The sequence below is a fragment of the Homo sapiens genome, chromosome 17 (assembly GCF_000001405.40).
Source record: "Homo sapiens chromosome 17, GRCh38.p14 Primary Assembly".
NCBI lineage: Eukaryota > Metazoa > Chordata > Mammalia > Primates > Hominidae > Homo > Homo sapiens.
This window is the reverse complement of record NC_000017.11, coordinates 60,728,212-60,741,030: the sequence shown is the minus strand read 5'-3', so window position 1 is coordinate 60,741,030 and position 12,819 is coordinate 60,728,212. Positions and strand designations below refer to the sequence as shown.

Here is a 12,819-nt window from a genome sequence, read left to right as displayed (position 1 = left end):
TTGTAAAATGTAAAAATTAAAAATTGTAAAAAGTAAAAATTCCAGGGGAACCCAGACCTAGGGGCCCTCACACTGATGTGTTTTACCTCCAGGAGCTCCACCAGGCTCTAACAGCCAATACTGAATAAAAATCCCCTCGAGCCTCTGGCAGTGGGTGTGAAAATGGAACCATCTTGAAACATGCCAGACCAGATCATTCTGTTCTTAACAAAGCCTGGCCTCGACAGAAACTACTTTATGAGAGCCTAACTTGCTGGGGTTATATCAGAGCTTAACCTACCTGGGGAAAGGTAAATACCCAAATCCAATCTCCTCTTACCTTTCTGTCTCACTCGAGGATGTTAAAAAACACACCACACACTCTCAAAAAAATAATGAGAAACAAAGGACTAAAACTTACCCACAGGACTGTAGAATGGTTTCCCTCCCCACACACCGCCACTCAATTACTAACGTCCCATTTACCATAGTTCCTTTTACCCAATACATCATATCCTCCTTTTTTTTCTTTTTTCTTTTTTTTTTTTTTTTTGAGACAGGGTCTCACCCTGTCACCCAGGCTGGAGTGTAGTACCATGATCTCGGCTCACTGCTGCCTCGGCCCCCCTGGGCTCAAGTGATTCTCCCACCTCAGCCTCTCAAGTAGCTGGGACTACAGGTGCCCACCACCATGCCCAGCTGAATTTTTTTGTATGTTTTTGTAGAGATGAGGTTTCACCATATTGCCCAGGCTAGTCTTGAACTCCTGGCCTCAGTGATCCACCCGCCTCACTCTCCCAAACTGCTAGGATTACAGGTGTGAGCCACCACACATGGACCATATCTTCCTTTTAACAAAAAATTAGAAAGCATACTAAAAGGCAAACAATACAATCTGAAGAGACTCAACAAGCATCAGAACCAGAATCAGAACTGGTAAGCTCAGAAAACAGCATGCGGGATAAATGCCCCAAAAAACCCTACACCAAGGCATACCATTTTCAAATTTCAAACAAATCAAAGATAAAGAAAAAATCTTGAAAGAAGCCAAAGGAAAAATTATCTACTTGTAGAAGAGCAAGGATAAGAATTACATTGCCTTTTCCTCATAAACGATGCAAGCAAGAAGAGAGTGAAGCACTTAGAGTGTTGTGTGGAAAAAAAAAAACAAAAACAAAAAAAACAGCAACCTCTAATTCTGTATCCTGAAAACTCATCCTTCAAAAACAAAAGACAAAAACTTTCTTGGACAAACAGGAACCGAGGGAATTTGTTGCTGGTAGACCTGCCTTGCAAGAAATGTTAAAAGAAGTTCTACAGGGAAAAAGGTAACAATATAGGTCAGAAACTCAGATTTACATAAGGAAAGAAAAACAACAGAGAAGAATAAGTGAAGGTGAAATAAAACTTATTTTTCTTTCCTTTTTTTTTCAGACAGAGTTTTGCTCTTGTCGCCCAGGCTGGAGTACAATGGCGTGATCTCAGCTCACTGCAACCTCTGCCTCCCGAATTCAAGCGATTCTCCTGCCTCAGCCTCCCAAGTAGCAGGTATTACAGGTGCCTGCCCCTACACCTGGCTAATTTTCGTAGTTTTAGTAGAGACAGGGTTTTACCACATTGACCAGGCTGGTCTCGATCTCCTGACCTCAGGTGATCCACCTGCCTCAGCCTCCCAAAGTGCTGGGATTACAGGCATGAGCCACTGCGCCTGACCCAAAACTTATTTTTCTTACTGATTTTTTTACAGATAATAGTTTGTTCAAAATAATAGCAATAATGTACTCAATTATGTATGTGTATGTATATATGTGTGGTATTGTGTGTGTATATATATGCACTTATGCATATGTGAAATAAATGACAGCAATGATACAAGAAACAAGAGAGAATTATGAATAGTTTGTTAATATTAGGTATTGCACTACCCATGAAGCAGTATAGTGTTATTTGAAAGTGGGCATGCATTGGTTATAAATGTATTGCAAACTCCAGGACAATCACTAAAAGAAGTTTAAAATGTAGTAAAAATGATATGCTAAGAAAGGTAAGAAACAACATCATATAAAATGCTCAAACTAAAAAAGCAGCAAAAGTATGAAAGATAAAAAAAGAAAAAAACAAAGCAACAATTAAAAAAAATAAAATTTGCCAGTCATGATGGCTTGCTACATGGAAGGCTGAGGCAGGAGGATCAATTAAGCCCAGGAGTTCGAGGCTACAGTGAGCTATGTTCATGCCACTGCACTGCAGCCTGGGCAGAAGACCAAGACCCTTTCACAAGAAAAAACTTTTAAAAATACAAAAAAATTAAAACAAGGGCAACAAATATGGTAGTTATTTATCCATCTATATCAATAATCACGTTAAACATCAATTAAATATGTCAAACAACAGAGATTGTGAAAACGGATTAAAACACAAGATCCAACTGTATGTTGTATAGAAGAAATCCACTTTAAATATAAAGACAGGGATTAAAAGTAACAGGATGTAGGAAGATATACCATGCTAACACTAATCAAAAGAAGGCAACCACAGCTGTATTAACTTCAGACAGAGCAGATTTCAAGGCAAAGAAACTTGTCAGGGAAAAAGGGGGATATTACATAATGATAAAGGGGTCAATACCCCAAGAAGACTTAATCGGTGCTTACTACATATGTGCTTAACAACACAGCACCAAAATACATGAAGCAAAAATTGACAAAGAGAAAGAGATGAATCCACTATTAGAGTTAGAGACTCTAACACCCCTCTATCTGAAACGAACAGATCCAGCAGCCAGAAAAGCACAAAAGGACATAGTTGAACTCAACAGCACCATCAGTCAACTGGATATAACTGACATCTATAAACTACTTCTTACAACAGTAGCACAATAAACATTCTTCAGGCAGACATGGAACATTCACTAAGATAGGGCATCTTCTGGACCACAAAACACACCTTAACAAATTTAAAAGAACAGGCTGGGCACAGTGGCTCACGCCTGTAATCCCAGCACTTTGGGAGGCCAACAAGCAGATCACCTGAGATCAGGAGTTTGAGACCAGCCTGGCCAACATGGTGAAACCCCATCTCTACTAAAAATGCAAAAAGTAGCCGGGTGTGGTGGCACATGCCTGTAATCCCAGCTACTTGGGAGGCTGAGGCAGGAGAATCGCTTGAACCGAAGAGGCAAGGGTTGTAGTGAGCCAAGATTGCACCACTGCACTCCAGCCCAGGCAACAAGAGTGAGACTCCATCTCAAAAAAAATAATAATAATAATAAAATAAAAAATAAAAGAACAGAAATCATTAAATGACCACAATAGAATTATTAAAGTAGAAATTAAAAATAGAAAGCTGGAAAATAACCAAATATTTGAAGATTAAACAACATAATTCTAAATAGCACATAGGTCAAAGAAGAAAGCTCCAGAGAAATGTTTAAACATGTTTAACTAATGAAAATGAAAATACAACTTAAGAAAATTTGTGAAATGCAGTGAAAGCAGTGCATAGAGGGAAATCTGTAGCACTGACTGAATATATTATAAAACAAGAAAGATCTAAAATTAAAAATCTAACCTTCCACCTTAAAGAAAACTAGAAAAAGAAGAGCAAATTGAATCCAAAGTAAGTGGAAGAAAATAAATAATACAAAATAGAGCAGAAATCAATGAAATTGAAAACAGAAAATCAATAGAGAAGATCAATGAAACCAAAAGCTGGTTCTTTGAAATGATGAATAAAATTAAGACTCTAGCCAAGCTAATTGAAAAAGAAACAGAGAAGGCACAAACTACTAATATTAGAAATGAAAGAGGGGAGGCTGGGCTCAGTGGCTCACACCTGTAATCCCAGCATTTTGGGAGGCCGAGGCAGGTGAATCATCTGAGGTCAGGAGTTCAAGACCAGCCTGGCCAACATGGCGAAACACTGTCTCTACTAAAAATACAAAAATTAGCCAGGCGTGGTGGTGCATGCGTGCAATCCCAGCTACTCAGGAGTCTGAGGCAAGAGAACCGCTTGAACCTGGGAGGCAGCAGTTGCGGTGAGACAAGATCGCGCCATTGCACTCCAGCCTCAGCAAAAGAGCAAGACTCGGTCTCAAAAATAGGAAGGAAGGAAGGAAGGGAGGGAGGAAGGGAGGAAGGGAGGAAGGGAGGAAGGGAGGGAGGGAGGGAGGGAAGGAAAAGAGGGGAGATCACTAAAGATCCCATGGACATTAAAAGGATAATAAAGGAACATTACGAACAACTCTATGCCCACAAGTTTGATAACCTAGATGAAATGGACCAACCCCTTGAAAGACACAATCTGCCAAAACTCACACAACAATAAATAGACAACTTGAATAGGTCTACACCTATTAAAGAAATTGACTCAGTAATTAATAACCTTCCAAAATAGAAAGCACCCAGGACCAGATGAATTCACTGGTGAATTCTACCATACATTTAAGAAAGAAATAATACCAATTCTTTATCATTCTCTTTGGAAGACAGAAGCATATAGAATGCTTCCTAAATCATTTTAGGAGGCCAGTATTACTCTAACACCGGAACCATAAAAAAGACGTTAGGCTGTGTGTGGTGGCTCACTCCTGTAATCCCAGCACTTTGGGAGGCTGACGTGGGTGGATCACTTGAAGCCAGGAGTTTGAGACCACCCTGGCCAACATGGAGAAACACCGTCTCTAATAAAAATACAAAAAAATTAGCTGGGCATGGTGGTACACGCCTGTAAGAAAAAAAAAAGACATTACAAGAAAACCACAGATCAATATCTCTCATGAACATAGATGTGAAAATCCTCAACAAAATACTAGCAAATCAAACCCAACAAAGTATAATAAGAATTATAGGCTGGGCACAGTGGCTCACACCTGTAATCCAAGCACTTTGGGAGGCAAAGGCAGGAGGATCACTTGAGTCCAGGAGTTTGAGGTTAACAGTGAGCTATGATTGCACCACTGCACTCCAGCCTGGGTGACGAAGTGAGACCCTGTCTCTGAAAATAAAATAAAGAACCAAGTGGAATTCACACCAGGTATGCAAAGCTGGTTCAACCTTCAAAAAATGTTGAATGGCTCACTTAATGTAATAGCTCACTTACACTCACTTAATGGCTCACTTAACATAAGCCATCACATCGATAAGCTACACGGTAAAAATCACATGGTCAAATAATAGATGCAGAAAAAGCATATGACAAAATCCAACACCTATTTATGAAAAAAAAGAAAAAAACTCCTCAGAAACTAGGAATAGAAGGGAACTTCCTCAACCTGATTAAAGAACATCTACAAAAAAAAGTCCAGCTAACATCACTTAACCTGTAATCCCAGCACTTTAGGAAGTAGAGGTGAGTGGATCGCTTGAACCCAGGAGTTTGAGACAAGCCTAGGCAACATGGCGAAACCCTGTCTCTATAAAAAACACAAAAATTAGTGCTGCATGGTGGCATGCACCTGTGGTCCCAGCTACTCAGGAGGCTGAGTTGGGAGGATAACCTGAGCTCAGAAAGCAGGGGTTGTAGTGAGCTGAGATCGTGCCACTGCACTCAAGCCTGGGTGACAGAGTGAGACCCTGTCTCAAAAATAAAATAAAATACAATAAAATAATAAATAAAATAAAAAATCATACTGAATGATGAGAAACTCAAAGCAGTTCCACTAAGATCAGGAACAAGGTAAGGATGTCCCCTCTCACCAGGTTTTTTAACATGACCCTAGCTAATACAGTAAGACAAGAAAAGGAAATAAAAGGTATAAAAATGGGAAAGAAAGAAAGAAAACTGGCTTTGTTCACAGAAGACATGATCATCTATGTATAAAATACAAATGATTCAACAAAAAACTGGAATTGATAAGCAATTACAGCAAGGTTGCAGGATACAAGGTTAATACACAAAAGTCACTTTCTTATATACAAGCATTAAACAAGTGGAATTTGAAATTTAAAAATACATTACCATGTACATTAGTGCCACCAAAAATGAAATACGTAGGTATAAATCTAATAAAATATGTATGCAATCTATATGAGGAAAACTATAAAACTGATGAAACATATCAAAAAAGAACTAAATAAATGAAGAGACATTCCATATTCATGGATAGGAAGACTCAATATTGTCAAGATGTCAGTTCTTTCCAACTTAATGTATACATTCAATGTAATCCCAATCAAAATCAAAGCAAGTTATTCTGTAGCTATCAACAAATCAATTCTAAAGTTTCTATGGAGAGGTAAAAAATTCAGAATAGCCAACTAAATACGAAGGAGAAAGCAAAGTCAGAACACTGATGCTATCTGATTTCAAGACTTACTTTAAAGCTACAGTAACCAAAACAGTGTAGTATTGGTGAAAGACTAGATAATTAGATCAATGGGACAGAACAAAGAGTTCATAGACCCACATAAATACAGTCAATTGATCTTTGACATAATAGCACAGATAATACAATGGAGCCAAGATAGTCTTTTCAACAAATAGTGCTGAAAAAACTGGACACCCACATGCAATAAAATGAATGTAGACACAGACCTTACACCCTTCACAAAAATTAACTCCAAATGGATTACAGACCTAAATGTGAAACACGAAAGTCTAAAACTCAAAAAATAATATAGGAGTCTGGGCACAGTGGTTCACACCTGTAATCCCAGCACTTTGGGAGGCTGAAGTGGGAGGACTGCTTGAGGCCAAGAGTTCAAGACCAGCCTGGGCAACACAGCAAGACTCCATCTCTACTAAAAATCTAAAAATTAACTGGGTGTGGTAGTGTGCACCTGTTGCCCTAGCTACTCAGGAAGCTGAAGCAGGAGGATCACTTGAGCCCAGAGTTTAAAGCTGTAGTGAGCTAGGATCGCATTACTGGGTAATAGAAGCCTGGGTAGTAAAGCAAAACTCTAGCCTGGGGATTAGAGCAACACTTTGTCTCTCAAACTAAATAAATAACAGGAGAAAACCTAGATGATACTGGGTATAGTGATGACTTTTTTGATACACCAATAGCACCATCCATGTAAGAAAAAAATAAGCTAGACTTGGTTAAAATTTAAAACTTCTACACTCCAAAAGACATTGTCAAGAGCATAAGCCGAGCCATAAACTGAGAAAACATTTGCAAAAGACACATCTGATAAAGTACTGTTATCTAAAATATATAAAGAACTTTTAAAACTCAACAATAAGAAAACAATCTGATTTTTTTTGAGACAAGGTCTGGATCTGTCACCCAGGCTGGAGTGCAGTGGCGTGATCAATGCTCACTACAGCCTCAACTTCCTGGGCTCAAGCATTTCTCCCACCTCAGCCTCCCAAGTAGCTGGGACCACGGGTACATGCCACCATGCCCAGCTAACTTTTTAAAAATTTTTTTGTAGAGACTGGGGTCTCACAAAGTTGCCCAGGCTGGTCTCAAGCTCCCGGGCTCAAGCAGTCATCTCACCTCAGTCTCTTAGAAGTGCTAGGATTATAGACGTCAGCTACCACACCCAACCAAACATCCAGTATTTAAAATTGGCCACTAGACATGGAAGATCATAGGAAAAGAATGCCTCATGTTTATCTCCAGTGCATTTTGCCTTTCTGTCAAAAATATCTTTCATGTCAAGAGTCTTCTGAATTAGTAACTGCTCTAATTTCACCTGGGAAGAGAGGGAGCAAGAGCAGCCAATACCTGAGACCCCGGACATTTTGGTCTTATTCCAAAAATCATGTCCTATCACAACAATGCAAAATATGAAAAATACACCAGATCATCTGTTACAAATTTTACAAATCAACAAAATCAATGATTCTAACAGTTTAGTAGAAAAGAAAATGGACTATGCTTATTAGCTATACAAATTTACTAAATCTGAGTTTCGTTTTAAAATAAGGTTAATAACATATTTATCTAACCAGGCAACAATATATAAATTGTATATTTGTTAAATGTATAATTGTATATTTGATAGTATATAATAATTGGCACTCAATAAATGATAGTTAATCCAAAGAGATGCTTGTTGAATGAATAAATTGATGAATGAATGATTCAGTCTATATTGGTCTCACTATTCTACCTTAATGTTATTTAGCATAATGTACCTTAGCTCTCCTGATCTCAAATCATGCTATTAATATTTAATACGTAGAAATTTGTTAAAATACCATATTGAAGAATATATTTTGGTACAGCTCAGTGCTCAGGTCTTTTTTATTTATTTATTTATTTTTGAGACGATGTCTCGCTCTGTCGCCAGGCTGGAGTGCAATGGTGCGATCTTGGCTCACTGCAACCTCCGCCTCCCAGGTTCAAGCGATTCTCCTGCCTCAGCCTCCTGAGTAGCTGGGACTACAGGTGCGCACCACCACGCCCAGCTAATTTTTGTGTTTTTAGTAGACACGGGGTTTCACCATGTTGGCCAGGATGGTCTTGATCTCTTGACCTCGTGATCTGCCCGCCTCAGCCTCCCAAAGTGCTGGGATTACAGGTGTGAGCCACCACACCCAGCCCAGTTCTTGAACTCACTAATACATTACTTCCTATGATTTATAGCCTTGGAGAAAAGAACTACTACCAAGGTGGTAAGCAGCATCTTGTCTATGTAGCAGGTTTTATCACACTAGTCTTCATAATCTCATCCAAGATCAAGCCAGTCTCCACCCTCCCTAAGTTTTATCTATTTATATGTTTTTACTTGCAACTTGTTTTCCTTGCTACCAGCGATCTAAAAATAGCCCATTTAAACATATAAATGCAGAGTTACCAATCTTATCTAATTGTTTCACATGTACTAACCATATGGAGACAAATGAAGATCAGTAGTTAAAAAGATCAGTAGTTTAAAAAGCTAAAAAGTAACACCAATAAAATCCTATTGGGGAGAAAAAGTTAATCTAAGGACTTTAGTTATTAATAATGTGTCAATATAAGCTCATCAATTGTACTAAATGTACTACACTAATGCAAATGTTAATAGTTGAAAATAGGAGGGCTGGCCGGGCGCGGTGGCTCACACCTATAATCCCAGCACTTTGGGAGGCAGAGGCTGGCGGATCACCTGAGGTTAAGAGTTTGAGACCAGCCTGGACAACATCGCGAAACCCCATCTCTACTAAAAATACAAAAATTAGCAGTGGTAGCAAGCACCTATAATCCCAGCTACTTGGGAGGCTGAGATGGGAGAATTGCTTGAACCTGGAAGGCGGTGGTTGCAGTGAGCCGAGATCATGCCACTGCACTCCAGCCTGGGCGACAAAATGAGACTCTGCCTCAAAAAAAAAAAAAAAATAGGAGGGTGATAAGCGGATACATGAGAGGTCTCTGTATTTTCACCTCAATTTTCTGTAAACCTAAAACTACTCAAATAAATAAAGCCTATTAATTTAAACATATATAGAAAATGTTAAAATCCCACAAATAAATGTTAATCTTCCATAATAGGAAGAAAAAAAATCAAGGATAAAAGGTAAAAATATACAGATTAGAGAAAGAAAGTCTTCTACTAAGGAATTCAGTTCCTAAAGCAACAAAAACACCTCACGTAACCCATTTAAATATACACATTAAGGCCAGGATGCCTGTAATCCCAGCACTTTGGGAGGGTGAGGTGGGCAGATCACCTGAGGTCAGGAGTTTGAGACCAGCCTGGCCAACATGGCGAAACCCCATCTCTACTAAAAATACAAAAATTAGCTGGGCGTAATGGCGCACGCCTGTAATCCCAGCTACTTAAGAGGCTGAGGCACGAGAATTACTTGAACTGGGAGGCAGAGGTTGCAGTGAGCCAAGATTATGCCACTGCACTCAGGCCTGGGCGACAAAGCAAGACTTTGTCTCAATAAATAAACAAACAAACAAGCAAAAAAACACGTGTATAGTTATCAATTTGCTAATTACTTCACATGTACTAATCATACAGATACAACTGGAAGGAATGAAGTTCCTTAAAAAGAAGATTTATTCATTATAGTTTTTTTAACTTAAAAATTAATAACAATTTACTTTTAATTAGGGAGAAATTGTAAAAACGTAAAGGAGAATGTGGGAGGCATGGCAGGTATCATCTTATACTAAGGAATTCGGTTAAGAAGCAACAAAAAGAACTCACCTAGCTACATGAGTGGCCACAGTAACTACAGAGCCAGCTCTACTGAAAGCTGACAGTCTCTCCCTCAAAACACCCTGTAAGCCAATTTGATAATATATTTTCATTTTATAGATAAGGAAACAAAGAAAAAGGCTGCCAAAAATAACCAGCCCAAAGAGGCATCAGAATCTCCTATAAATACACTATATTCAAAATAGTTCTTAAACTCAGGCCTTTTTTTCTCTAACAAGTCACTGTTAGTGTATTATTTTATTTTTTACAGCTCTGCCTCCACAATTTTAAAAACTTAAGATAGCATACTTTGAGGAAAGTTTTCCTAATAGTAAAGAGCAGTCCTTTTGAAAGCTCCTAAAATTAGGAGGAAGAGGGGAACAAGTTTTTTGTTTTGTTTTGTTTTTTGCCTGCCTAACCACAAATGATTCAGTTAATATCAGAGTGTCAGTATCTCTGTAACCTACTGTGTATACCATCAAGAAAAAAAATGCAAGCCATAAAAATCGCCTAAAATGCATATTTGTGAGGAGTAACAACTTATAGAACAGATATTTGCTGACCACATAAAGAAAACAGCAACCCGGTCTGTATTTTGGTCTTGACACTAAATTCATAATACAAAACTTCAGGCAGGCAGGAAGTAAATTTCAAGAACAATACGAAAACCACAGAACACAAATAATGAATGGAACTTGTAATCATATTTTCATACTTCCAGATTTTTGCACACATAGAAAGGAGTGTTTTAAGGCAACTTTAACCTTTCCCCTTCAGCCTGATTTTCTAAAGGAAGATCAAACAAAAGCCGTTTGAACTCACATGTTCCTTCAGTTATGCAACACTGATTTAGATATTACACTTCAAAACTCTAGCCATTACTTCAGCATGCACCAATCCAAATATCATTCCAGTCCTTTGAAGCCGCCTTAATGGTATCTTCCATTTGCAACTAACACTTTGGTAGTCAAAAGATCTTACTCAGGGTAGATGTTAATGTAAAACCACTCAGACTACAGTGACACACACGCCTGGAGGCAGACGAGAAGGTGTTCAGAAGTCAATGTAACACCATTATAGAGAGTGTCGGCCTAGCGGCTGTCATAAACACTTCATAATCACTCAGACATACAAACTGGATTCTCTTTATTATTTTATTACAAGCTGATAGGTGTTCAATTGAAAAGTGAAGAGAGAAAGCAGTGCAACAGATAAACCAATTTTGGTTCATCGCCTCTTTCCACTTTTAAAAGACTGAATTTGTTACATTTTAATGGTATTGTAAACCTATCTTGATTTAACCCATTGATTAAAGAAGATAGATTTGCAATAGATAATTAACCAAGGAGAAACTGTTTATATTAAATAGAAGTCTAAAAGTTTTTTCCATAAAATAGCTATCATATTAACTTGTAAGATTAACAAGATGATTTTTTTTAATGACTGACAACATCAATGTAAGCAGTGAGTGGAACAACTGTAACTCCCAGATACTGCAAATGGAAATATACAACAATACAGCCTATTTGGAAAACCTTGGGCAATTTCTTTTTGTTTTGGAGGTGATGGGGCCACAATTTCTAATAGTTAAACATATGCCACCTACCCTGTGACTAAGCAATTTCACTAGGTATCTTAAAAAAAAAAAAAAAAAGAGTCCACATATCTACAAGAATGTTCACAGACACTTTATTCATTATAGGCAAAGGCCAGAAACACAAAGCCCATCAAAAAGAAAATAACTAAACAGATTATGGTATATTTAAATAGTGAAATAAAACACAATAATAAAAACAAACAAAAAATGCAAACTACCATGATATAGCAACAACACAGACGAATCTAAAAAGTATATTTAGCAAAAGAGAACAGATGCAAAAGAGTACATACTGTGTGCCCCTGTTTATATGAAGTTCAATGCATGCAAAACTAATATGGGGTCAGAATAGTGATTATCTTATCCTGGAAGGAGGAGAAATATTGACTGGAAAATTTTATGAGTACAAAAATGTTCTACATTTTCTCCCCAATGGTGGTTTCACGTACTTGTGTATACACACAAGCATGCTTACAGACATACATAAACACACATATATACAAACACATATACACAAGTAAAAATCACCAAAATATAGACCTGAGATTTGTGCATTTCAGAGTATGTATATTATCTTTATTTTTAAAAAGATATTATCGGGTGTGGTGGCTCATGCCTGTAATCCCAGCACTTTGGGAAGCTGAGGCGGTAGATTGCTTGAGGTCAGGAGTCCGAGACCAGCCTGACCAACATGGTGAAACCCCGTCTCTACTAAAAGTACAAAAATTAGCTGGGCATGGCGGCGGGCACCTGTAATCCCAGCTACTTGGGAGGCTGAGGCAGGAGAATCACTTGAACCCAGGAGGTGGAGGTTGCAGTGAGCCAAGATCACCCCACTGTACTCCAGCCTAGGCGACAAAGTGAGACTCCATCTCAAAAATAAAATAAAATAAAATAAAAATAAAAAGGTATCTGTCATAAACAAATTGTGGTATTCCATACAATGAAATATTATTCAGCATCTGAATAAGCTATCAAGTCATGAAAAGACATGAAAGAACCTTATATGCATATTACTAAGTCAAAGAAACCAATCTGAAATGGCTACCTACCATGTAGTGATTCCAACTACATGGAAAAGGCAAAAGAATGGACATGATAAAAAGATCAGGGGTGCCCAGGGCTTATCAGGGATGGAGGGATGAATAGATAGAGAACAGA

General features: G+C 38.1%; 1 protein-coding gene across 8 annotated transcripts in view; it reads right to left on the bottom strand.

Annotated features, from left to right (window-relative positions):
* BCAS3 (BCAS3 microtubule associated cell migration factor) overlaps positions 1–12,819 on the bottom strand; it is a 714,981-nt gene that overhangs the window by 651,801 nt on the left and 50,361 nt on the right. The gene's annotated exons all lie outside the window — the stretch shown is intronic.